This window comes from Homo sapiens, chromosome 17, assembly GCF_000001405.40.
Source record: "Homo sapiens chromosome 17, GRCh38.p14 Primary Assembly".
In the NCBI taxonomy this organism is placed as follows: domain Eukaryota; kingdom Metazoa; phylum Chordata; class Mammalia; order Primates; family Hominidae; genus Homo; species Homo sapiens.
The window spans coordinates 73,301,669-73,328,003 of record NC_000017.11 but is presented as its reverse complement, the minus strand read 5'-3'; the positions used below and the strand labels follow the sequence as shown (position 1 = coordinate 73,328,003).

Below are 26,335 nucleotides of genomic sequence, written 5' to 3'. Positions count from 1 at the left end.
CTAACTCCTGACCTCAGGTGATCTGCCTGCCTCAGCCTCCCAGAGTGCTGGGATTACAGAGGTGAGCCACTGCGCCCGGCCTCAGCAAACATTTTCCCTAAAGGGTTTTGCCGGCCACAGAGTCTCTGTCATAGTGCAGAAGCAGCCACAGAGAATACATAAACATATGTGCATGGCTGTGTTCCAATCCAATTTTATTTAAAGACTCTGAAATTTGAATTGTATATAATTTTCACATGTAACGAAATATCATTCTGGCTTTTATTTTTTTCTGAATCATTTAAACATGTAACAATCATTCTTAGCTCATGGGCCATACGGAAACAGATGGGGTCAGAAGTTTGCAGAACCCTGGTCTAAAGTAGTTTGTGTCAAGTCCACACTTGCTAGAACCCCTGTGGGGTTCTGGTGTGACTCCCAGATAAGATTGTCAAGGGCAGTGCAGTAGGCTAAATGTTGTCCCCCCAAAAATCACATCCACCAGGAACCTCAGAATGTGACCTTATTTGGAAGCAGGTTCTCTGCAGATGTAATTAGTTAAGATGAGATCATATTGGATTAGACTGGCCCTAAATCCAATGATTTGTGTCCTTATGAGAAAGAAGAGAGAGGCTGGGCGCGGTGGTTCACGCCTGTAATCCCAGCACTTTGGGAGGCCAAGGCGAGCGGATCACGAGGTCAGGAGATCGAGACCATCCTGGCTAACACGGTGAAACCCCATCTCTAGTAAAAATACAAAAACAAAATTAGCGGGTGTGGTGGCGGGCACCTGTAGTCCCAGCTACTCAGGAGGCTGAGGCAGGAGAATGGCATGAACCCGGGAGGTGGAGCTCGCGGTTAGACGAGATCGCGCCACTGCACTCCAGCCTGGGCGACAGAGGGAGACTCCATCTCAAAAGAAAAAAGAAAGAAAGAAAAAGAAGAGAGGATGGCCAGGCACGGTGACTCACCCCTGTAATTTGGGAGGCCGAAGCGGGAGGATTGCTTGAGCCCATGAGTTCCAGACAAGCCTGGGCAACATAGTGAGACTTTATCACTACAAATAAACAAAAACAAAAAAAAGAAGAAGAAAGCCAGGCGCGGTGGCCCACACCTGTAATCCCAGCACATCAGGAGGCTGAGGCGGGTGGATCACCTGAGCCCAGGAGTTTGAGACCAGCCTGGCCAACATGGCAAAACCGCATCTCTACCAAATATACAAAAATTAGCCAGGTATGGTGGCACGTGCCTGTAGTCCCAGCTACTTGGGAGGCTGAGGAAAGAGGATCGCTTGAACCTGGGAGGCAGATGTTGCAGTGAGCCAAAATTATATCACTGCACTCCAGTTTGGGTGACAGAGACCCTATCTCAAAAAAAAATAAAAATAAAAAATAAAAAGCCAGGTGCAGTGGCTCACGCCTGTAATCCCAGCATTTTGGGAGGCCGAGGGAGGCAGATCGCTTGAGGTCAGGAGTTCAAGACCAGCCTGGCCAACATGGTGAAAGCCCATCTCTACTAAAAAATACAAAAGTTAACCAGCTGTGGTGGCGTGCGCCTGTAATCCCAGCTACTCGGAAGCCTGAGGCAGGAGAATCACTTGAACCTGGGAGGTGGGGGTTGCAATGAGCCAAGATCATGCCACTGCACTCCAGCCTGGGCGATAGAGCGAGACTCCACCACAAAAAATAAAGCACACATGGCCGGGCGCAGTGGCTCACGCCTGTAATCCCAGCACTTTGGGAGGCCAAGGCGGGTGGATCACAAGGTCAGGAGATCGAGACCATCCTGGCTAACACGGTGAAACCCCGTCTCTACTAAATATACAAAAAAATTAGCCGGGTGTGGTGGCAGGCACCTGTAGTCCCAGCTACTCGGGAGGCTGAGGCAGGAGAATGGCGTGAACCTGCAAGGCGGAGCTTGCAGTGAGCGAAGATTGCATCACTGCACTCCAGCCTGGGTGACAGAGCGATACTCTGTCTCAAAAAAAATAAAAAATTTAAAAAAAAATAAAGCACACAAACACACCAAAAAAAAAAAAAAAAGAAAGAAAGAAGGAGAAGGAGAGGGAGAGGACATGGGCTGAAAAACTCCCTATTGGGTACTATGTCCACTACCTGGGTGACGAGATCAGTCACACCCCAAACCTCAGCATCACGCAGTATACCCAGGCAACAAACCTGCACATGTATCCCATGAATGCAAAATCCAAGTTGAAGAAAAGAGAGAGACGACACAGACACACACACAGAGGAGAAAGCCATGTGAGGACACAGGCAGCGCTTGGAGTGATGAAGCAACAAGCTAAGAAATGCCAGGGACTGCCTGGAACCCTCAGAAACGGGAAGAGCCAAGCAAGAATTCTCCCCTAAGCCTTCAGAGGGAGCACAGCCCTACTGATAACTTGATTTTGGACTTCTAGCCTCATAACTGTGAGAGAGGACATTTCTGTTGGCTTAAGCCGCCCAGTTTGTGGTCATTGATTACAGCAGCCCTAGAGAATGAATGAGCAGCTCTCCTGGGATCTCCAATGTGCATCTTTTCTCTTTGGGAGTTTAGGTTCAGTAAACTCCCGGACTCCAGCGGGACCCCAGGACGGCCCCTCTGGGACCTTGGGCCTCCCCTCCACTCCCCTCCTCTTCCTCCCTGCTCCCTCCCCCAGCCGTCTTAGATTTCTGCAGAAAAGCATCAGCCAACCCTGGGTTCAATTGGCAACTATGGGATACTTGTTTTCCTGTTTCTTCCCAACCTCCCCCTCCCCCGACTTTTAAAATTGTTTCCACCCCTCACTAAGAGCCAAACAAGTCGTTCCCCGGGGTCAGGAAAAATGCTCACCGGCCATCAACCTGCAAAATATTAATCACAGATGCCGGGACCGGAACTCCAGGGCCTCTCCCCTGTCATCTGTGTCTGGCTCTGGGTACAGGCAGGGGCTCTGGGGAGCACTGGTGCATTGGAGGTGGGGCGCAGAGGGAGAAGGAAGGACATGCTGTTTTCTTGGCCTGGCACAGTACCTGGTACGTGGGGAAGCAGGGCAGGCTTCTATCCTGCTGCCTGGGCTCACTTCACCCTCGCGCTACTCTGGGAGCGCAAAGGGCAAGGCGAGTCTCTCTACATTGGCCAAACTCTACTAGAACCCAACAGTATGTGGCTAGATGAAGGAAACGGAACTTCATCAAAGATGCATGCAAGTGTTAAAGGCTTTGCACAGCACTTTGCATAAGTTAAATCACTTAACCTTACAAAGGCAGGAGCAGGAGATACAGAGATGCTAAGTAACTATGGGAGGTAACAGCTAGGGTCTCCAGGGACATCCCTATTGCCTGGGGACTCTCCCAATCCAGGCTTGAAGAGGGCTCTGCTTTCTGGGTGATGGGACCGGCCCACACTCCTACACAGGACCCGGCACAGCAAGGACCATTCTCTGACCCAAGACCTGGGCTGCTTCTGTTCCGCAGACTCTTCCACGGAGAAAATTATTGCTCCAGTTGGAGGCTCCTAAGACGACATAGAAACAGCGTTGGCAAACTTGGTGTTGTTTACTTCCGTAGCATTTTCGGTAAAGGGATTTGGCCAGTCACAGGGAAGATCTGGGAAGGTTCTAGAAGATACATGTGGATGGGAAGGGCGGGAGGTCAGGGAAGCTACCTCAGAAGTAGCCCCAACATCATTTATTGGAAGGAGGCCCGTGGGGGAGGGGCAGAAGGAGGCGGCGCTGGTGGGCCCCACGAGGGTGGCTATGATGACCACATCTGTTTGCAGTTTTCCAAGCAGCCTCCCCACCCCCACCTTGTCCTTCCCCCTGCAATCAGCTAGCTGCCTATGCTTGTCCAGCCTCGTCCTCCTGCCCGGACCAGTCCCGCAGATACTGGGGCTGTGAATCAGGGGCCAGGCTCACGTCTGTTGCCTTCTGTTGGTTCTCAGGGTAGCAGGGTGGGTTGTGAAGATCATGACACTGTGATTTCACCCTGGGGGAAGTTTCTGGGGTTCCACCCCAAGGACCTCCCTCTGCACAACCTGGGGCAGAGGGACAGAGGGTGGGGGGAACAGGGAGCACCCTCAGTTGCCCAGGGATCTTATTCTGCACAGCCTGGGGGTGGGGGACAAGGGGACCCCCTCAGTTGCCCAGACAGCAGGCAGCAATTACTGACCCGAGAGAAGCAGGCTGCGTGCAAGGGAAGTCACAGCTCTGCATGGTGAGTAATGGCAACTGATATGGTGGGGCCTCAGAAGGGGGTACCCAGGAAATGGGTCAGCTGGAGCGCCCTGCCTCCTAAAGGGGGCAGCTCTCACTGGCTGCTGCCATGGGGAAATCAGAGCCCAATGCTGTTGGGTTCTTCTGATTTTTTTAAGAACAAGAAATCAAGTTTTATGTAAATTCCCCTTATGCTTAAATACTAGCAACTAAAAATAAATGTTTTTCAAACACTGTCTTGGCAGATTGCATCTTCTAAAAATGACTGCAACAGTATCTCCCACCTTATATGCCCCAGACACACTTCCCATCAAGAGGGAGTCCACGCTCCTTCCCCTTGTTCCTGGGGGGAGGGGCTGGTGACACAGCAGAGGTGATGCCATGTGACTTTCAAGGCTAGGTCATGGTTATGGGTTGAATAGTGTCCCACTCAAAAGATGTGGAAGTCCTGGACGGGCGTGGTGGCTCAGGCCTGTAATCCCAGCATTTTGGGAGGCCCAAGCGGGTGGATCACTTGAGGTCAGGAGTACCAGACCAGCCTGGCTAAGATGGTGAAACCTCTTCCCTACCAAAAATGCAAAAAAAAAAAACAAAAAAAAACATTAGCCGGGCGTGGTGGTGGGCGCCTGTAATCCCAGCTACTCAGGAGGCTGAGGCAGGACAATCGCTCGAACCCAGGAGGCAGAGGTTGCAGTGAGCCAAGATCAAGCCATTGCACTCTAGCCTGGGCGACAAGAGCAAAACTCCATCTCAAAAAAAAAAAAAGTGATAGTTTCCTGGTTCTCTTGGGACTCTGGAGCTTGACATTTGGCTGCCATATTGTGAGGAAGCCTAAACTACCCCATGTGGAGAAACTAGGCAGGTGTTCTGACTGACAGCTCGGCTGGCACCAACCACCAGACATGTGAGTGAAGATGACCCAGAAGGTTCCAGCCCCTAACCACTGAGTCCCCTCTCATCTTTGAGTCTGCCTAGCTGAGACCTCTTGAATCGGGAGCAGAAACAAGCCATTCTGTGTGCCGTCCAAATTCCTGAGATTCATAGACTCCAGAGGCATAATAAAGTGATTGCTTGGGGAAGAGTTTATTTGGCAGTAATTGTGGATGCCAGACAGAATATAGCTTTAGGCTGCCTCTGATCGAGTTAAGGGGAGGCAAGTGGTTTGCCTTTGGAGAACCCAAGCAAGTCTGCCTATGGGTTCTTCGAGGCTAAAAGCTTCCCAACCTGGAGCCACATCAGGGGTGGCGGTGAATTAAAAAACAGGGAAGGAAAGGGGAGGAGATGAGGTAAGGTTCAAGGGCAGGGTTATGCGACAGGATATCTGAATAAAAAGTCACCCTCTACTAGCAAAGATTCCATTTCAGGAGCCCAGATGTCAAAAGATTTTTTTTTTTTTTTTGAGGCAGACTCTCACTCTGTCACCCAGGCTGGAGTGCAGTGGCGCAATCTCAGCTCACTGCAATTTCTGCCACCAGGTTCAAGTGATTCTCCCACCTCGACCTCCCAGGTAGCTGGGACTACAGGCACATGGCATCAGGCCCAGCTAAGTTTTGTATTTTTAGTAGAGATGGGGTTTCACCATGTTGGCCAGGCTGGTCTTGAACTCCTGACCTTAAGTGATCTGCCCGCCTCAGCCTCCCAAAGTGCTGGGATTACAGGTGTGAGTCACTGTGCCCGGCCTCCAAGAGATGTTGTTTGTCAGGACACGCATGTGGAGGAGGGACCTCTGCAAAGCTTACAACTCCTGCAGCCCCACTGGTGTGGGGGTCTCACAGGGTTTCTGGAAATTGAAGGAGCTACTACATATAAAATTCAGAATAATACCTAGGTCTTATGGAAACTGTATTGAGGGCTTATTATTGTTAGGGTTAGTGCTGTAGTCTTCAGTTTCCTGAAGGCTTAGGACCTCCCAGAGGTACCCCAAGAACTGCATCGAAAAAGGCAAAGCAGATGGGGTTCTGGAACCCTCACCCCACTTCACCACATAGTGGGACCACCTTGATCTGTTTGACGTCATGTATGTTTCACTTGCAAGGTGGCGGGGGAAGGAGAGGGAAGGAACCCCCTGCTTACAAAAATAAATGTTTGAAAACCACTCATGTAGCAGAAGCACTGGCCCTGGGTTAGGGGAGTTCATGTCTCTTATCCCAGATTCTTCTAGTAGCTGGCTGTGTGCCCTTGAACAAGTCACTTGACTTGTCTCTTTTTTTGAGACAGAGTCTTGCTCTGTTGCCCAGGCTGGAGTGCACTGGCACAGTCATGGCTCATAGCAGCCTCGACTGCCTGGGCTCATGCATCTCACGCCTCATCTCAGCCTCTTCAGTAGCTGGGACCACAGACATGCGCCACCGCGCTTGGCTAATACTTATTATTATTGTTTGTAGAGACGAGGTCTTACTGTGTTGCTCAGGCTGGTCTCAAACTCCTGGGCTCAAGCAATCCTCCTGCCTTGGACTCCCAAACTGCTGGAATTACAGGCATGAGCCACTGCGCCCGGCCTTCACCTGACATCTTTGGATTTTATTTTCTGTTCTGAAAACAGAGTGGCTTAGGCGATCCCTAACATTAAATCATTCTCCTTAAATTAGCCAAATTCTTTGCTCATACAAAAGAGAGAAACATTCTCTTCCACACACTTTCATGCATGTAATTAGTTTATTATAGATTCAATTACGAGGCTCCTGAGCCTCCTCACCCTATCTCTCTGTCCTTGTTGCCTCTTGGTGACCTTGGATGAGCCAGGTTTTGCTTTGCTGGAGGACTCCCAGGCCACAACTCAGCCGGGATTTCACTGGCTACTCAAAAACATGCCAGTCAGGGGCTGGGGTCTGGGCCCAGGGCAATGTGCTCCCTGACTCCTCATTCCTAGCTGACCTAACATGTCTTTTGCCTTCAAATACAACTGCTTTCTGGAGAGCAAAAGGCTTGTAGAGGTAACAGAGGGGTTGGAGAGTGGAGAAAACTCATGCCCTGCAGCATTCAAGCCATCAAGCTGGGAAGTATAAATTAGCCTTGACATCAGACTAGGATGAGTTATTGTTATGAATCAAAGGCTTCCCAGGACCAAAGGACACACACGCGCGTGCGTGCACACACACACACACACACACACATGCACACATGCCAACACTCAGGAAACTGAAAGCTGGAGAAGAGAAAACAAACTCCATAGCCACAATGATCAGCTTTGACAGTTCCATCCAGTTCATACATACCTTTTCCTCACTCTCCCCACAAGAAGGGACACGGAGATGCCAGGCCCTTCTCCCTTCTCACTCCTTTTTTTTTTTTTTTTTTTTGAGACAGAGTCTTGCTCTGTCACCCAGGCTGGAGTACAGTGGCACCATCTTGGCTCACTGGAACCTCCGCCTCCCAGGTTCAAGCGATTCTCCTGCCTCAGTCTCTCCAGTAATTGGGACTATAGGCATGTGCCACCATGCCTGGCTAGTTTTTTTTTTAATTACAGTAAAAAAATTTAATTATGATTTTTGTAAATTATAGTAGAGCTGGCCCTATCTCACATGTATCTTAAAGCCCATTTTCTTCTAGAAGAGTCTCCCTTTCTGTGCCCAGGATGGCTGGGAAAATGCAGTGAGACCCTATGGTCAAATAGAAGTATAGAAGCATCAGAAGTTTACCCAAGGGTCTGGGATTTTGGGAGCTCAGTAAAAAGAGAAGGAAGGAGGTGGGAGTGCCCCCAACAAAAGGTACAGATACCAGAACCTACTGATTTGAGAGGGCTGCTCCTTTAAGCACTGGGAACATCTGGGCAGAGGTGTCACATCACATTGGGATGGAGAGAATGCTGAGTGATGCCATCAGCTCTAGTAATCCTCACCCCTGGGCCATGTGCTGAGCTCTAGGAAGGGATTTAATCGGGGCCTTTGGTTTAGATGTGGTCTTGAGCAGGGAGCAAAGGGTGATGGGGGCAGGTGGCGATTTGAGATACTACTATAGCTTGCTAAGAGGTGCCTTCAGGCAGGGTGAGTCCGTTCTCTTTGAAACAATGTAGACTCCTCCTGGGCACACAGAAGCCTGTCTGCTTGGTGAAGATCATGCCAGTCTCCCCTAGCAACCTCCTCTTGCCCACTGCGGCTCAGTATAGTAACGGGATCATTTCTGTTTCAGCTGGAAACTTCCTTTCCTACCTTCTCATGGTTCTGTGGCTGGACTCTCACCATCAACGTGTTTCCAACCCAAGATCTGGCCTCACTAGCTGCATAATCCTGAGCAAATTACTCAGTCTTTTCTGTTTGTTTTTTTGTTTTTGAGATAGAGTCTCGCTCTGTCGCCCAGGCTGGAGTGCAGTGGCGCGATCTTGGCTCACTGCAACCTCCACCTCCCGGGTTCAAGTGATTCTCCTGTCTCAACCTCCCAAGTACCTGGGATTATAGGCATGTGCCACCACACCCGGCTAATTTTTGTATTTTTAGTAGAGACGGGGGTTCACTGTTGGCCAGGCTGGTCTCGAACTCCTGACCTCAATTGATCTGCTTGTCTCGGCCTCCCAAAGTGCTGGGATTATAGGTGTGAGCCACTGCATCTGGCCTTTTCTGTTTTTTATCTGCAATGGGAATCATAATGGCAACCACTTTGTAGATTTGAGATGCAGAAATCTTTACATACAGTAAAGTACTCGATAAGTAAAGTACTCTAGAAGTGGCCCTGCCTTTTCTAAGTGATCCTTATTCAAGTCCCGTTTGCCACTGACCCGGGCTCTCAGGGGAGAGGCCTTTTCTGGATGCAAACAGAAGTGCTTTGCTTCACCTAGTCTCTTTTCTTTCCATCCCTCTAGAAACCCTGAGGGCTTCTGGCTATCACCGGCTGTTCTCCAGCAGAGCTGGGTCCCCGCCCACCCTTCCCCAGAGACAATGACATAAGGGGGGCCCCTCTGGGTGAGCCCACCAGAGCCTGAGTCCTTTATCAGAAGCCCAGGACTGCTTCTTGCAGATAATGCTGTTAATTTTTGTTTTCTGTTAGCTCAGTTCTCAGAAACACTAACAGGGATGGCCCCATTCTGTGGCAAGGATGAATGTCAGAATGAAGCTTGCTCCAGAAAGTCTAACTTCGGTCCTATTTCTTTATTTATTTATTTTTTCAGAGATAGGGTCTCACTCTGTCACCCAGGCTGGAGTGCAGTGGTGTGATCTTGTCTCACTGCAACTTCCGCCTCCCAGGTTCAAGCGATTCTCCTGCCTCAGTCTCCCTAGTACCTGAGATTACAGGCGCCCGCCAACTCCTGACCTCAAGTGATCCACGCGCCTCAGCCTCCCAAACTTAGGTCCTTTTAACTGTGAGACCAGCCAGCATCCAAGTAGTGACACCTTGGTGTGGTCCTAGCTTGGGGATGAGTTCTGACCTGCATTAGCCACCAACCCCACGCCATCAGCATGAGTGGGATCTCTTGTAGTCTCCATTGTGCAAATGAGACCAAGCCCTGGGGGAGCTCAAGGGACTTCTCAGATCACAGTGACAATTTAGATTCAAAGCCAGTATCATCTGGCCCTAGGGCCCGTGTTTCTAACCAGGACTCTCAGGCCTTTGGAGCACCAGGTGGAATCCTCTGCTCAGAGGCGTGGTTGGGCTCCCCCATTTTTGCCACGGGTCACAGTGGGTGAAGCTCTGGGCTTCAGAAATCCGGGGGTCACAGGAAACATTCTTCCCAGGGCCCCTGCTTGCAAGTTTTACTGACTTTAGTTGACTTCTCTGCTAATTTTCTCAGCAGCCCAGAGCTTTTGCTGTATCTTTCTTGCCCACTCTTTTCTCCCTGCTGGATGAACAAGAAATTTAATATCATCTCCTGCTTTCTTGGAAATGTCCCAGCTCAGTGGTCAGGAGTGGCCTGTTAATAACCTGACAATGCACAGTGACAGATTCCTGAGTGGGGTGTGGGGAGGCCTGGCTGTCTGTCTTTTCCCTGCAGAGGGAAGGAGGGAGCCACAGTACCCAGAACCCTAAAGCTCAACTTAGTAACAACCTAATAGTAGCTAGGGCCTTCCTTTAGACTTTTCAGGAAGCAAGATCACACGCCTTATCTCCTTCCATTCTTCTGATAGCCTCCTATGGCCTGAATTATTACCATGCCCCCCTTACAGGTGTGACTCAAAGCGATAAGACGACTCCTCCAAGGTCACACAACAAGTACAACCCAGGTGTTCTAAGCCCCACATCTGGACTCATTTCCTGTAAATTTCATGACCCCTCTGCTCTGCTACTGCCCCTTCACACACCTCATCCCATCTTTGAGCCTAGTTCAATCCTATTTTCACCTCCTGCCTCCAGAGAACCCCCAGCCTTGTGAACGGCGTCTCTCTGGGCCAGGGGACCTCTGACACACAGCGGCCTCCCTCACCTCCTGGGCCAATTTGTGCTGTGAACCCTTGGGAGCTGCCGTTCTGGGACGATGTGTGACCCTGTGGGCCAGTACAGCTCATTTCAGGGAAAAAGTGACCACACAGAGCTTAGTTGAGGCTGGGGTTGCAAATGGAAGAAGGGAGGGATGTGGGCTGTGAACTCTGCTCATTCATTTGTCTAGCAAATGCACTGTGTGCCAACCCACGCTGGAGGTTCAGACATGAACTGAACACCACCCTGTCCCCAGGGAGGCCAAGGGGAAATCGTATTGCTTTACTCTCTAGGCATGCACTGGCTGCCCCAGCCCCCTGATGTGCGTGAACTCCCCCAGAAAATCAGGGTTATGCCCCTGAAACCTGGGGCAGAAAGAGCCCCCAGATGCAGGTACTTTTCCCCACCATGGTGGAGGAGTCTTGTCTGGAGCCCCAGGCACTCTGCCAGTAGTTTGGTATTTTCAGGATTTTCCCAGCTGCTCAGCAGGTTGCCCCAGCCCCATGAAAGGGCTCCAGGTGGTTCCCAAGAACGGGGAAGCAAGGCGTGAAAGAGCCTCTCTCTTGCAGGCATGGGAGTGGACAGCCCAGCGCCAGGCCACCCCAGCTGATGGGCTCCTGACCTGGATCACCAAGGCTCCACCCAAACTGTGCTGACATCAAGCCATGGTGGCACCTTGAGGTTCAGTCCAGGACCATCTTGTCTCACCTCAATAGGGGAAGGGGGGCTCAAAATAGACTTGAAAGCCAGGCACGGTGGCTCACACCTATAATCCCAGTCCTTTGGGAGGCAGAGGAGGGAAGATCACTTGAAGTCAAGAGTTCGAGATCAGCCTGGCCAACAGGGTAAAACCTGCCTCTACTAAAAAAAAAAAAAAATTAGCCAGGAATTGGCTAATTGGTAGTGGGCACCTATAATCCCAGCTACTCAGGAGGCTGAGGCAGGAGAATCGCTTGAACCCAGGAGGCGGAGGCTGCAGTGAACTGAGATTGCGGACTGCACTGCAGCCTGGGCGTCAGAGCAAGAATCCTAAAAAAAAAAAAAAAAAAAAAAAAAAAAAAGGGGAATAGACATAGAAAGTTGTAGTGTTCTTGCTTGGGGAGATAGCTTATTTCACGAAGAGAAATGACCTGCCCAGAGTCATACTTTAGGACAAACACCAGACTGGAATGAGTGGAACTTCCAGCCCCTCCAAGGAAATAGGACAAATTGGCCGGGCGCGGTGGCTCACGCCTGTGATCTTGCACTTCGGGAGGCCGAGGCGGGCAAATCACGAGGTCAGGAGATCGAGACCATCCTGGCTAACGTGGTGAAATCCCGTCTCTACTAAAAATACAAAGAATTACCCGGGCGTGGTGGCGGGCGCCTGTAGTCCCAGCTACTCAGGAGGCCGAGGCAGGAGAATGGCGTGAACCTGGGAGGCAGAGCTTGCAGTGAGCCGAGATCATGCCACTGCACTCCAGCCTGGGCAACAGAGCGAGACTCCGTCTCAAAAAAAAAAAAAAAAAAAAAAAAAGGAAATAGGACTAATTAACCTCTTAGAGCTGGGACAAAATAACATGAACTAAAATGCCCAGAACTCCATGTTAACAAACACTGGGATGTGGTATGTTGGTGCAAAAAAGTAATTGCGGTTTTTGCCATTGAAAGTAATGGCAAAAACCGCAATAACTTTTGCATCTACCTAATATGTGTTGGGGGTTGGGGGTGGATATTAGGGAGGGGCAAGTCCATGAAGCTGCAAGGATCATGCATGCCCAAGTCCCAGAGGCAGGCAGGCCCCAGCGGCCCCAGACAGGCAGAGACACACGCCTAGGCCTAAAGGCTTACAGGTCAAGTTACACCAAGGGTGCAGTTAAGACCTCAAATCCCTCTCCAAAGTCAGGGGCTTAGAGCTTGCCAGAAATTTCAAGTAGGTATGTATTCAAGCCTCAGATTTTTTATTTTGTTAATTTCCTCTGGTTACTCATAGACAGCTCTAGCCTAACGGGTTGGAGCAAAACTTGCTTCAGTGGATCCTTCGGAGAGAAATCCACAGGTCTGGGATTCCCACCATCAAAGAAAATGATCTTCTAATCACATCTTCCCTCAGAGGGCTAGGATGCAGTCTAGAAGCATCTACGGAGCCCCTCCCTGAAGCAGTTTGTTTCTACTCTAGGCGTCCTGAGGGCAGGGACTGGGCTTCGTTGTCTTTGTCCCCAAAGGCAAGCCTCCACTGTTGTTAAATGTTTGTGGAAGGAGCCTGAATTTGGGTAAGGAGCAGAATTACAAAGGGACCTAAAGACTTTGTCCCGGAGGTGTGCTTAATAGATATGGATGATAATTGGGAAAAGGAAAACAGATTACTAACAGCTAGCCCTAAGAAAACCGAAATACTTCATTTAAAATGGAAGGAAAGAGATGGGGAGAGGGAGATGTCTCAGAGAAAATAAGAAACGTTTTTTTTTTGTTTTTGTTTTTAACTTAAGCTATGATTTCAGGAGAAAGAGGTCCTGGAACGCCAGGAACCAGGGAGGACTTCCACCTGGAAGCAATGTGGTAGAAGGAGACCCACTGAGGGCCTGCATATGCCCAGCAAATGGCCAGGTGCCTTTGTTTGTTTGTTTGTTTGTTTTTTGAGACAGGGTCTCCCTCTGTTACCCAGGCTAGAATGCAGTGGCATGATCTTGGCTTACTGCAGCCTCAACCTGCAGGCTCAAGTGGATTCTCCCATCTCAGCCTCCCAAATAGCTGGGACTACAGGCATGCACCACCACACCTTGCTGATTTTTGTATACTTTTGTAGAGATGGGGTTTCGCCAGGTTGCCAGGTTTCTCTTGAACTCCTGGGCTCAAGCGATCCACTGGCTTCAGCCTCCCAAAGCAGTGGGATTACAGGCATGAGCCACCGCGCCCAGCCTAAGTGATCTCTTTTAATATTCACCCCAATAGGGGAAGGTAGAGATTGCTGTTCTCACTTTACAGATGGGGAAGCTGGTGGATAACTTGTCAGCTCATAAATGGCAGAGCTAGAATTCCAATCCAGAGGCGTCTCCAAACCTCTATCCAGCGAGCCTTACCCACAGTCCTGTTGCAGCTCCTACTTCTTTTGAGGACACCTTTGGCACTAGGTCATGATGACAGCAATCACCTCCATTCTGGTTGCTTTCTAGTCATAAAGCGCTTTCACACCTGATATCTCATTCCTCTTTACACCCTCCAGACGAGGCTAGCAGAGGGGTCCTGTGCTCTTTGGACACATAAGGACAGCCAGGCTAGCTAAGGGTCAGAGGTGGGAATTAGCGACTTCCCCATGTGAAAGGGAATAGAATCTCGGGACCCCAAATTCACTATGTCAAAGGGAAAGTTTAATCCCAGCACTTTTGGAGGTTGAGGTGGGTGGATTGCTTGAGCTCAGGAGTTTGAGACCAGCCTGGGCAACATGACAGAACCCTGTCTCTACAAAAGAAAAAGTACAAAATATGTAGCTGGGCATGGTGGCGCACACCTGTAGTCTCAGCTACTCAGGAGGGTGAGGTGGGAGGATCGCTTGAGCCCAGGAGGCCAAGGCTATAGTGAGCTACGATTGCAGCACTGCACTCCAGCCTGGGCAACAGAGCAAGACCCTGTCTCCAAAAAAAAAAAAGGGGCGGGGCTGGGGGGGACGTTAAGCTTGGAAACCACAGAAGCTGCTTTCCTTTTGTTCCCAGATAGCTGCAGTTTCACAACCCTGTTGACACAGGGTTTCCTTTGCTCCCCTTAGACGTACTGAGTAGGAGACAATGCATCATTGACTTTTTCTTCTATTCCCTTTCACATGTAAAATGTAGACTTACAGACACTAAATCAGAGCCTCACACGCTTGTGACCTCAATGCCTTTCCTCCCTCTCTCCCTCTTCTTTTCCTTTCCTGCTTGCTTTTTCTCTTTTAAATACAGAAGTTCCCAAAACCTTTTTGGAAAAAAGGTGATTTTTCCCCGGTGGATCCTCAACCTTGGCTAACTAAACCTCTATTTGATTGAGATCTGCCTTAGTCACTTTTTGGTTTACATCCATGATAACCCCGCCAGGGTTTGAATCCACAGTGTCTGCCTCCCAAGTGGCTCCAAACCCTACCTTTCCCTCCAGATGTCCAGTTCAGAATTTGATTTTACTTATTATTCATTTATTTTTTTTTTTGAGATGGAGTCTACCTCTGTCACCCAGGCTAGAGTGCAATAGCGCGATCTCGGCTCACTGCAACCTCCACCTCCCAGGTTCAAGCGATTGTCCCGCCTCAGCCTCCTGGGTAGCTGGGATTACAGGCGCCCACCACCATGCCCGACTAATTTTTGTATTTTTGGTAGAGATGGGGTTTCGCCATGTTGGCCAGGCTGGTCTCAAACTTCTGACCTCAAGTGACCCCCCACCTGCCTTGGCCTCCCAAAATGCTAGGATTACAGGCATGAGCCACTGCGCCCAGCCCAGAACTTAATTTTCACAGCAGGATGGAGTGGCCAAACCATTAGCTCTCAAGAGCTGGTTGCTGTCGCACTGCAGAGGGAAACGGAAATGTGCTGTCCCCAGAAAGCAGAATGTTCCTGAGGGCTTAGGGACCTCGCAGCCATGGGGAAAGTCTGGGGCCTTCACCCTCACTTCCTTTAAAAACCGAGGGTGGGGTTCAGCTAGAGGCAAGGGAACTTTTCACTTTGCGCCTTGTCCACTTTAGTTGACTACTTCGCAGCTGGCATTCTACCTTGATAATGATCATTTCAACTGAAACTATTCCTCTAAAAAGAATAGAGTCCAAGGCCTGGGACTTGGATTCAGGCTCTGGGACTCAGGAGTTGATCCTCCTTGACGTTCACCTGGTGCAAATTTAGCCTCAGCTGATACTTAGGAGGCAAAGGCACAGACGGGGATGCGGGGAGCTCAAGGGCTGTCACCCTGTAGAAACATTTCTGACGCCCAGTCCAAGCCTGGCCTCGGGGCTGGCCGGCTCCTCCCCGCTCCCTCGTTTACAGCGAGAGTCTGGGATGGCACCCACGAAGCTGGTGGCGCCAGCCCTCCTGCCCCATCTCCCGACAGTACTGCAGCCAGGTGGTTAGCAGGTCCGGGAGGGAGCAGGAACGAGGAACGCCACCCGGGCTGGAGTTCTTGGTTTCTTGCCCCGGCTCGAATGGGGAAGAGCCTCAAAAGAGCCTCGCGCCAGGCCCCCGGAGGGAGACGCGCCCCTGGCCCTGGGGGCCCCAGTGGGGGTTCGCGGCCGGAGCGCAGGCTGGGGCGGGAGTGTCTCCCGGAAGCCGGGCGGGCCCAGGCTGCCCCATACGGAGTTGGGAAAGTCTCAGGCTTTCAGTTTGAACCGAGGAGGCCGAGCAGTCGGGCAGAGGTTCCCGACGGCCATTGGCTGCTGCGGCGCCGTGACATCAGCGCAGAGGGGTGCGCGGGGAGGGTTGCGCGGGGCGGGCGCGGGCGGAGCCTGGAAGGGGAGTGTCCTGGAGGCTCCCAGCCCTGAAAGCCCGAGAGCCAGAGGGAAACAAACGCCGGCGCTGACAGGGGCCGCCAGCCCCTCCGCCGCGCGGAGCCCACGAAGGGGACAGCGCAGCCGGCCCAGAGCTCGGGTCTCCGGGGACCGAGGTAGGCGACGGGCAACCGCCTCTGTCTGTGGTAGCCGCCTTCGCGCTGGGTGCCCTGGGTGGGCTTGGGGGTCTCGAGTCCCCCTGTGGGGCAGAGAGGATCGAAGCTGGGGATGCGAGGCCGCGGCGCGGGGAGAAGGGCGCGGAGCCCCCACTTCTCGGCGCTCGCGCTTTTCACCGCGCCCACCGCGGTGCCTGGGACCCTAAGCTGCGCACCTAGTGTCCTGGCAGAGCGGGATGTGTGGAGGAGGAGGTGGCAGGGAGCCGGGCGCAGCGTTGCCGGGACTCCATTTCCTCTCTCCACGCTGGAACTCCCGGCCCTGGCCAAGGGTGCCGCTGAGGGGGTTGGGGGCCGGTTTTAAAGGGCCTCCCCCTTCCCAGGAATGGGGTGTGTGTCGGTGTGGGCAGGAGCGCAGCAATCGGCGGCGCGCGGCCCGCGATCTCCGCGAGGGGGGCGTGTGTGCGCCCGGAGTTCTCCATGAATAAGAACCGAATTCTCCGCCTGTACGGGCAGAGGCGTGTACACATCTCGCTCTCGTACACACACTGCAGCACACGCCACCCAATGTCACCCGGCCGGGAAGCCAGAGGGAAGGAGCTGTCTGGAAGGGAATGGCCGAAGGAACAAATGGTCCTCCTTTCCCCTACTCCCGCCCCGCGAACCCTTCCCTCCCCCGCCAGGCTCCCGCCCCGCCCGCTCCCTCGGAAGCCCGGGAGGCCGAGGCGCCTCCTGGCGGGGTGCGGGGGGAGGGCAGTCGAGCCACCCGCCCCCTTGGAGCCGGGGAGACGGCCGCTCCTGGGCTAGTGCGCCCCGAGCTCAGCGCGCTCAGCGGGATCGCAGGCGGGAGCGGTCGGTTAATGATTTAATCGCCCGCTTGGGGCGGGTGCGCGCGGATCGGCCGTCCCTGGCCCCGCCCCCTCTCCGGAGCGCCCCCAGCCGGGGTTACAAAACTGCCCCCTGCCCCCGGCGCGTCCCCCAGGAGCCATCCTGCCCGCGGGGATCCCGTCAGCCGGTGAGTGCCCCGGCCGGGAGGGCTGGAGAGCTGGGCGGGAGCCGGGGCTGAGGCTGAGCCAGCTTCCTGGGAGAGGACTGAAGTGCGTGTGTGTGTGTGTGTGTGTGTGTGTGTGTGTGTGTGTGTGTGTGTGTGTGACTGGGGGAGGGGTGCTCGCTGCTAACTCAAACCAGGTTCCCTGTGTTTTCCCAGTGACTGCGGCCTCGGCTTTGGAAGTTTTCTTTTTCTCCCTGGGAGAATGGAGGGGAAATACAATGCCTTTTCTTTTCTCGTTGCCTCTGGAACTTCTCTCTCTCCACGACTCCCACCCCTTGCAATCTGACCGGCTCCCACATCCCTTACTGTGTGCCCGGTGCCCACTGTTTGCCCAGATAGCTGAGCAGCTGGATCCGGGTGGAGTCCTTGGGAGCCCCCGTCGCTGCGAAGCCCCCTGCCCTCCCCTGAGGGTCCAGGGTGCTGGAGGGAAAATCTCTCTCTCGTCCGAACCCCAGCAGCCATCTGTACCAGAGAAATGTCCCATCCAGCGAGTGTAAATAATGAGGGGCCGGTGACAGGGGCCTCCTGCAAGGCGACTTCTTTGGCAGTCTGGGTTTCCAATAACTCCCTCAGCCCCCGCCCGCTTCTGAGGCTAGGGTGGAGGAGGGACCACCAGCAGGGTGGACTGAATTTTAAGAGAACAAAGAACAGGCCACAAAGGAAGGGATTGCTGAGCTGCGGATTTCTGATTTCTCCCAGAAATCGGGAGTTGGCTGGGACTGAGCCAGGCCCTAAGAGAGCCCCTGGCAGCCCCAGGGGCTCCTGGGGCAATAACAGGGCATCCACCAGGATCTCCTGAGGCTCTATCTCTGCTGAGAAGCCAGTGCCTACTGAATGCGGGGGTGCCCTGCCGGTTCCTGCTCTCATCAACTGCCCTGTGTGAGCTGCACATGTGACTGACTGATTAGTGGGGTGGCTTATCTCCTCTGAACTTGGACTTTGCCTCTCCACTCCTTGAAGACAGCTGCTCCTTCCCACAAGGGGTGTTCAGTGAATTTGGGGAGATCCCAAGTGGATTCCCAGGCATCCTGGTGGACCCCTGCAGGGACTAGGAGGGGCCCGCTGTGATCATATGGGCGGTGGTTCTGGGGTGAGTCTCAGCGCCTCCCCTCTGAAATCTCCCTGAAGTCCTAGGGTCCCTGCACACAGAGGGCAGCTTGCTCCTGCTCTGCTGTACAGCCTAGGCCTGTGCTGTGAATGATTCTCCATTTTCTGGGGTTTCTGCCTCTCTCTTTTTGGATTCCTCTTCTCTTTTCCCCTCGTTTCTCTCTTTCCCTTGCCCACCCACCGTGCTTGTCCCCATCCTCTGTACCCTGCCTCCACTGTGCTGCTGCCTCTGGAACCCGACAGCACCTCACAGAACCAGAGACCAAGGAGTCAGAAGCAAAGGGAGGTCTCATGTATAAAGGTCAGGGGAGTGAGTGTTGACCTGGGAGAGGAATCTTACACCAGTCTTTTGATTTTAAAAATAATTTTTATTTTATTTATTAATTTTTTGAGACCAGGTCTTGCTCTGTCACCCAGGTTGTGGTGCAGCGTCATAGTCAAGGCTCACTGCAGGCTGGACCTCCTGGGCTCAAGCTATCCTCCCACTTCAGCCTCCTGAGTAGCTGGGACTACTGGCGCCCACCACCACGCCCAGCCATTTTTTGTATTTTTTGTAGAGGTGGGGTTTCACCATGTTGCCCAGGCTGGTCTTGAACTCCTGAGCTCAAGGGATCTTCCCCCACCTCGGCCTCTCAAAGTGCTGGGCATACAGGTATGAGCCACTGCACCTGGCCAACCCTTTTTTTTTTTTTTTTTTTTGGAGACAGAGCTTTGCTCTGTTGCCCAGGCTGGAGTGCAGTGGCACAATCTTGGCTCACTGCATCCTCCACCTCCCGGGTTCAAGCAATTCTCCTGCCTCAGCCTCTGCAGTAGCTGGGATTATAGGTGCATGCCACCACGCCCGGCTAATTTTTTTTTGTATTTTAGTAGAAACAGGGTTTCACTGTGTTGCCCAGGCCGGTCGCGAACTCCTGAACTCAGGCAATCCACCCACCTCGGCCTCCCCAAGAGCCGGGATTACAGGCGTAAACCACTGCACCCAGCCCTGGCCAACCCTTCTTAACAAGTCCAGAGCTTTTCCAGAAGGGCCTTGGGTTGGCAGTGGCCCAGGGCTTCCACCCCTTTGGAGTGACTGATTGATTTCTGCGGCCCGGACTGTCTGTGCGCAGGTGTGGCCAAAAGGTGTTTGATGTTGGCCTCTCCCTTTCACTCTCCCCCACCCCACGCCCCTACGTTTGGATTGGGTTCGAAGTGAAGAAGTCAGAAGTCAGAGTGGTCAGGGTTGCACTTGGTTAGCAGTAAGTCCAGCCTTCTGTGTTCTCATTCTGGTTCTGCAGACTCAGAGGAGTTTGTCCCTGTGGGGGGAGGGAGGAGTCCGTCCCTTGGAGGAATGGGGAGCTGGGTTGATGCCAGAGATAAGGCCTGTGGGCGGAGGGAGAAGGGTTGAGCAATCTCGCCCTGGAAACAGAGCTGACCTGAGCTCTGCGTAGCTCTTCTGACCTACGTACTGGAGGATTTTTCCCGACCGTGAGGAAAAGAACCAAATTCTGGAGCTGGGGACACTTTGAGGGGTCATCCGGCAGAGTGTCCTGAAGGCCAACTCCAGCCAGTGCTTCTGGGGTGCTCTAGGAAGGCCAAGCCCATGCGTGCCCTCTCTCGGCAGGGAACTGGATGGTAGTGCTGGAAGGAGCCCGCATGTGGCACTGGACACAGCCCTTTTTGCTTGAGTGCGTTGGGAAGGAAATTCAGACATTAGGGCCGGGCACAGTGGCTCACGCCTGTAATCTCAGCACTTGGGGAGGCCAAGGCGGGCAGATCACTTGAGGTCAGGAGTTTGAGATCAGCCTGGCCAATATGGTGAAACCCCGTCTCTACTAAAAATACAAAAATTAGCCGGGCATGGTGGCGTGCACCTATAATCCCAGCTACTGGGGAAGCTGAGACACAAGAATCGCTTGAACCCAAGAGGTGGAGGTTGCTGTACTCCAGCATGGGCGATAGAGTGAGACTCCATCTCAAAAAAAAAAAAAAAAAAAAGAGAGAAATTCAGGGCCAGGCGTGGTGGCTCACACCTGTAATCCCAGCACTTTGGGAGGCCAAGGCGGGTGGATCAGGAGGTCAGGAGATCGAGACCATCCTGACTAACACAGTGAAACCCTGTCTCTACTAAAAAGTACAAAAAATTAGCTAGGCTTGGTGGTGGGCGCCTGTAGTCCCAGCTACTTGGGAGGCTGAGGCAGGAGAATGGTGTGAACCCGGGAGGCGGAGCTTGCAGTGAGCCGAGATCGCGCCACTGCATTCTAGCCTGGGTGACAGAGCGAGACTCCGTCTAAAAAAAAAAAAAAAAAAAGAAAGAAAGAAAAATTCAGACATTAGTCTCCCACATTCCCGCTCACCGTGCCCCGAAAGCTCCAGCTTAAAATACGCCTTCTTGAGGAGACTTGGGCTTCCTTCCAACTAACTTACATTGGAGTCTCCCCCAGGCACTGCCAGCTTGCAGCTCTGGGCTCTGTGCCAGGATGGCAGTGCTGGCATCCAAAGCCCTCCCTTGCCAGGAACAGGGGAACTGGCTGTCTCCACTCAAGCTGAGGAAGGGTCTCTCTTTTGGGATTCAGGTGAGCACAGTTTAGGGTGTGGTCATTAATGAAGGCTTACAGTTCCCCACCTGTAAGAAACTGCTCTGCACACCTGGTGTTTCCCCTTCACCCCAAAGATGGAGCTGAAGGCATCTGGAAAAACCACAGTGCCAGGCAAGAAGGATCCCTGGATGTCTGTGCTCAGCCAGAGCTGCTTCAGCCACCATCTTCTGCCTTGGCCATCACGGTAGCAGAGGTTGTCTGGGGCAGCCTCCACCTCCCAGCATGAGACTCTGGGTTCTTCTTTTGCCCAGACACCTGCAGTTCTGGCAGTCACTGAACTTGGTCTGGAGACCCCAGCTTTGAATCTCTCCAAGTGTGCCAACAAAGCCAGGTTCTGTGTGCTGGCTTCTCTTTCCTGCCTGTCCTTCCTCTCTACCTCGGGTCTTCACTCAGTGCAACCTTCTTATTTCCTTACACTGTTGCCTCCAACCCTGAAGCATCAGAAAGGGACCTGTTCCCCTCAAGTCCTGGAATTGGGCTTAAGGCTTTGTCAAGTGGTACAAGGAGTAGAGAGCCCAAGAGAGCCCAAAAAGAGCCTAGGGGCTCGCAGTACGATTTGTGGTTACCTCTAAGGAGAATCTGGTTAGGTCCAAAAGATCAGATTATATTTTATTGGGGGTTGATCATATTGAAGTTTTGTGCATTATTTTTTTGTTTTGAGACAGGCTTTTTGCTGTGTTGGCCAGGCTGGAGTGCAGTGGTGCAATCACAGCTCACTGCAGCCTCAAACTCCTGGGCTCAAGAGATCCTCCCACCTCAGCCTTGAGTAGCTGAGACTATAGACGTGTGCCGCCATGCCTGGCTAATTTAATTTTTTTTTTTTTTTTTAGAGACAGGGTCTCACTGTGCTGCCCAGGCTGGTCTCAAGCTCCTGGGCTCAAGCGATCCTCCTGCTTCTGCCTCTGCCTCCCAATGTGCTGAGATTTCAGGCATGAGCCACGGTGCCTGGCCTGTGCATTATTTGTTGCTAGTAGCACCCGGGGTCTGGCAAATTCCTGAGTTACTTTTACCCTTATCCTAGGAAGGAATGGAGGAGCTTCTCTTTTCCCACCTCCACCTCACCATCTTGTCTGAGAGAAGCCAGGCTCCTTCTTCTGGCATCATTAAAGGTTAAAAGGTGACGGGATGAGGGAACTCAGATCAGGAAAGAAACCAGATCCGAGGGTTTCCTGCCCCCGACTGCTGGCAGAGACTACAGAGGGAGGGCAGAATCTGTACCTGGGCTTCAGCAGCTTGGGGGACCCTTCCCCCTGCATCAGATAATCCTGGGAACCCCCAGGACTTTGAAAAGGGTCAACCCATTGTCTCAGCCCACGTTTCACTGTACAGACTTTTGAATTAGGTGCTCTCAGGTGGCTGTTCTCTATGAAGTTTGCGAAGTGACAGTGGCTGGAGTGTCACTGGGTGTGACAGCATCATCTTTATAGCACACATGGAACTGTGCTCACCCGAGCACAGCACTTGGGAGTTATGTAATGTTATCAATTGTTCTGAGAGCTAATGAGGAAACTGAGGCACAAATAACTTGACCCACGTGGCAGGCCACCTTGTGACCTAGGGAGTGGGGCTCTTTGTCCCCAACTTCCGGCAGGGCCAAGATGCAAGATTAGCCTGTCTGCTCTGGAGGGAGTTTAGATCTGCCAGTCTCCTGGAGACCCCAAGGTGGCCATGAAATTCCCAGTTCTTAGCTGAGCACCCGGCTCTTAGGAGCGGCAAAGTGAAACCAAACAAGGCCTGGCAGATCTGATTTCAAGCGCGGCACTTTCCTCTGCGATCACTCCCGAGCAGGAGGGAGGCACCCTGCTGCCCAGTAGTAGCACCACTCCTAGAGGAGGAGGGCCCAGCCTGTATGGGGGCAGTGGGGCCCCCCACCAGGCATCCATCCTGCCTGGCCCAGATGGTCCCTCTGCTGGTGGCTGGCTTCGGGTGGTGGCTCCGGGAAGCACACATTTCCAGGAAGGGCCCTGTAATCAAGTGAAGTTGCCGGATGTCCTTGAGTCACTGGCTCCTCTTCGTCTTGACTCCTCCGTTGTTGCTTCCGGTCACTCCCTAGTCTTGGCTCCTTTTTCTTCCCTTCTCTGTGCTGTTCTAATTCCCAGGAGGTGAGGGAAGGTTTCCCCTTCACCTCCTGCTGACCTGCTTCTCCCCTGGCCTGAAGCCTGTGGTTCTGGGATGGGGATGAGGATAAGGATGAGGTGGGTGCAGGAACGAAGATGAAGGAGACAAGCAGGGCAGCTGGTTCCCAGCCCACAAGGAGCAGGAGGCTCCCCTGGATGGACCTGGGGTGTTGGGCTGTAGCCTGTATTTTCCAGGATTAATCTATAAGTTCCCTGGAGTGGTGGGGAATGAGGTGCTCAGACTCAGGAGATGTTAACCTGAAATTGTGTGCACAACTGCGTATCCTGTGTGTACTCATGCATCCAGAGCCTTGAGCAGCCCTCCCAGGCCTGAGCCCCAGGGACACTTATGATGCACTGTCCCCCTCGCACCACCCGCCCCCCCCACCCCGATGTTCCTTATGGTGGAGTGGAAAAAACCCAGAGTCCAGCACATCTGGATTCTTGTCTCTCTCTCCTAACCAACCGTGTGTGACTTGAGTAGAGCACGTGCCCCTCTAAGTCTCGGTGCTCTTATCTGTGAGCTGGGGATGATAGTGATAACTCCATGGGATTGTTGGGAAGAATACATGAGATAAAGTTTTTCAAATGCTTGGGACCGTGTATGACTACAAAGTTTATCGTCCCAGCACTTTGGGAAGCAGAGGTAGGAGGATGGCTTGAGCCCAGAAGTTTGAGGTTACGGTGAGCTTTGATTGCACTGCTACAGTGTACTCCAGCCTGAGGGACAAAGCAAGACCCTCTCTCAGGAAAAAAAAAAAAAAGAAGAAGAAGAAAAGAGACAGTTTAATCAAAATAAATCACCTAACACAATGCCTGGTGCAGAGTAAAAAGCTCAACAAATCTTAGTTCTTTCTCGTATTTTCTCCATGACATGTGGCCCAGGAATAGTTACTGCAGAGTCTGGGGAGGGGTCTACCCCTGAGGTTAGGTAGGGTCTAGAATAGTATTTCCTTAGAGTGGGTTCCTCAGCACACAGTCTTGCTATCTGTTGGGATCCACATGGAGAGATGTTATTCCGGAGTGTTCTTGATAATGAGTCACCATTTAAACTAGACTAGACTCCTTATGCTATATCTTCCAGCAATTAAAGGGTAAATTATTTTAAGCCGTAGTGTGTTTTCCCATAACTCAGCCTGGCTGAGTGAGTTATTGGCATCATTTTCCCATAAACTGTAAGAATTGTGCATTCCTTAAGGTGGTGGAGAATACTTGTGTGATATTCAAATCACAGTGAGCAGGATGATCAGTGGGACTAGCCCTAGGATGATGCTGTCAATAGGAATGTGACGCTAGTCACATATGGAATTTTATGCTTTCTAGGAGCCATGTTTTTAAAACTAAAGGAAGGGGGAATTAATTTTTTTTTTTTTTTTTTTGGAGACAGAGTCTTGCTCTGTTGCCCAGGCTGGAGTGCAGAGGCATGATCTCATCTCACTGCAACCTCCACCTCCTGGGTTCAAGCGATTCTCCTATCTCAGCCTCCCAAGTAGCTGGCATTACAGGTACCCACCACCACGCCAGGCTAATTTTTGTATTTTTAGTAGAGACAGGGTCTCACCATGTTGGCCAGGCTGGGGTTGAACCCCTGACTTCAAGTGATCCATACTCCTCGGCCTCCCAAAGTGCTGGGATTACAGGCGTGAGCCACCGTGCCCGGCCAATTATCAGTTTTTGTTTGTTTGTTTGTTTGTTTTTGAGATGGAGTTTCACTCTTGTTGCCAAGGCTGGAGTGTAAGGGTGCGATCTCGGCTCACCGCAACCTCTGCTTTCTGGGTTCAAGCCATTCTCCTGCCTCAGCCTTCCGAGTAGCTAGGATTACAGGCATGCGCCACCACGCCCAGCTAATTTTGTATTTTTAGTAGAGACGGGGTTTCTCCATGTTGGTCAGGCTGGTCTCGAACTCCCAACCTCAGGTGATCCGCCCGCCTCAGCCTCCCAAAGTTCTGGGATTACAGGCGTGAGCCACCGCGCCTGGCCAATTATCTTTTTTTTTTTGAGACGGAGTCTGATGCTGTCCCCCAGGCTGGAGTGCAGTGGCGCCATCTCGGCTCACTGCAAGCTCTGCCTCCCGGGTTCACGCCATTCTCCTGCCTCAGCCTCCCGAGTAGCTGGGACTACAGGTGCCCGCCACCATGCCCAGCTAATTTTTTTTGTATTTTTAGTAGAGACGGGGTTTCACCATGTTGGCCAGGATAGTCTCGAACTCCTGACCTCGTGATCCGCCCGCCTCGGCCTCCCAAAGTGCTAGGATTACAGGCTTGAGCCACCGCGCCCGGCCAATTGTCAATTTTTAAATGTAAAATAATTAAAATTTAAAATTCTGGCCACGTGTGGTGGCTCGTATCTGTAATCCCAGCACTTTGAGATTACACTTGAGGCTAGGAATTTTAAGACTTGGCTAGGCAACATGGTGGTGCACACCTGTAGTCCCAGCTACTCGGGACTGAGGTGGAAGGATTGCTTGAGCCTAGGACGTTGAGGCTACAATGAGCTGTAATTGTGCCACTGTACTTGAGCCTGGTTAACAGAGTGAGACCCTGTCTCAAAAAAAAAAAATTAAAAATTCAGCTCCTTAATCACACTAACCACATGTTAAGTACTCAGTAGCCTTATGTGGCTTGTGGCTGCTGGATTAGATGCCGGAGGTTTAGGATATCACTGTAAGTGCCAGAAAGAGAGATGTTTCATGTCAGTGGTATTATTCAACATTATATTGGCAGTGTAACAAATATAACGAGATAATGAGGAATGGAGGAGGCAAAATTATTATTAGTTGCAGATGATGAGCTTATCCACTTCCAAAGCCCAAAAGATTCAATCATATAGTTGCTTAGAGCCTGTAAGGTAGTATAAGCTTGGTGGGGTGGCCATTAAATATGTTAGGGGGAAAAAAAGGTAGCCTGCTGGCCGGGTGCAGTAGCTCACACCTGTAATCCTAGCACTTTGGGAGGCCAAGGCTGGTGGATCACCTGAGGTCAGGAGTTCAAGACCAGCCTGGCCAACACAGTGAAACCCTGTCTCTACTAAAAATACAAAAATTAGCCAGGCAGGCAGGGCATGGTGGCTCACGCCTGTAATCCCAGCACTTTGGGAGGCCGAGGTGGGTGGATCACCTAAGGTCAAGAGTTGAAGACCAGCCTGGCCAACATGGTGAAACCCCATCTCTACTAAAAATGCAAAAATTAGCTGGGCATGGTGGCGCACGCCTGGACGCTGAGCCACAAGAATCGCTTGAACCCTGGAGGCAGAGGTTGCAGTGAGCTGAGATGATACCACTGCACTCCAGTCTCGGCAATACAGACTTGGCCTCAAAAAAAAAAAAAAAAAAGCTGGGCATGGTGGCGTGTGCCTGTAGCCCCTGCCACTTGGG

At 52.1% G+C, this 26,335-nt stretch overlaps 1 protein-coding gene across 2 annotated transcripts in view, besides 5 other annotated features; it reads left to right on the top strand.

Moving 5' to 3' along the window:
* Positions 9,305-10,057: an enhancer, noted in NCBI's record as "H3K4me1 hESC enhancer chr17:71314086-71314838 (GRCh37/hg19 assembly coordinates)". NCBI's record gives its function as "activates a minimal SCP1, AML or CMV promoter by ChIP-STARR-seq in naive H9 embryonic stem cells {active_cell/tissue: H9 hESC(naive)}" and the evidence as "EXISTENCE:reporter gene assay evidence [ECO:0000049][PMID:30033119]".
* Positions 15,625-15,784: a silencer, noted in NCBI's record as "silent region_8925". NCBI's record gives its function as "represses an Ori minimal core promoter by ATAC-STARR-seq in GM12878 lymphoblastoid cells {active_cell/tissue: GM12878}" and the evidence as "EXISTENCE:reporter gene assay evidence [ECO:0000049][PMID:35858748]".
* Positions 15,855-16,114: a silencer, noted in NCBI's record as "silent region_8924". NCBI's record gives its function as "represses an Ori minimal core promoter by ATAC-STARR-seq in GM12878 lymphoblastoid cells {active_cell/tissue: GM12878}" and the evidence as "EXISTENCE:reporter gene assay evidence [ECO:0000049][PMID:35858748]".
* CDC42EP4 (CDC42 effector protein 4) overlaps positions 16,003-26,335 on the top strand; it is a 28,378-nt gene continuing 18,045 nt past the window's right edge. The window contains exon 1 of one of the 2 annotated variants that reach the window (NM_012121.5): positions 16,003-16,111. The gene's annotated coding sequence lies outside the window, so the exon portion shown is untranslated. Of the gene's footprint in view, positions 17,124-26,335 lie in introns of both variants that reach the window. The other variant, XM_005257182.3, reaches the window with a different exon arrangement.
* Positions 16,565-17,114: a silencer, noted in NCBI's record as "silent region_8923". NCBI's record gives its function as "represses an Ori minimal core promoter by ATAC-STARR-seq in GM12878 lymphoblastoid cells {active_cell/tissue: GM12878}" and the evidence as "EXISTENCE:reporter gene assay evidence [ECO:0000049][PMID:35858748]".
* Positions 17,125-17,254: a silencer, noted in NCBI's record as "silent region_8922". NCBI's record gives its function as "represses an Ori minimal core promoter by ATAC-STARR-seq in GM12878 lymphoblastoid cells {active_cell/tissue: GM12878}" and the evidence as "EXISTENCE:reporter gene assay evidence [ECO:0000049][PMID:35858748]".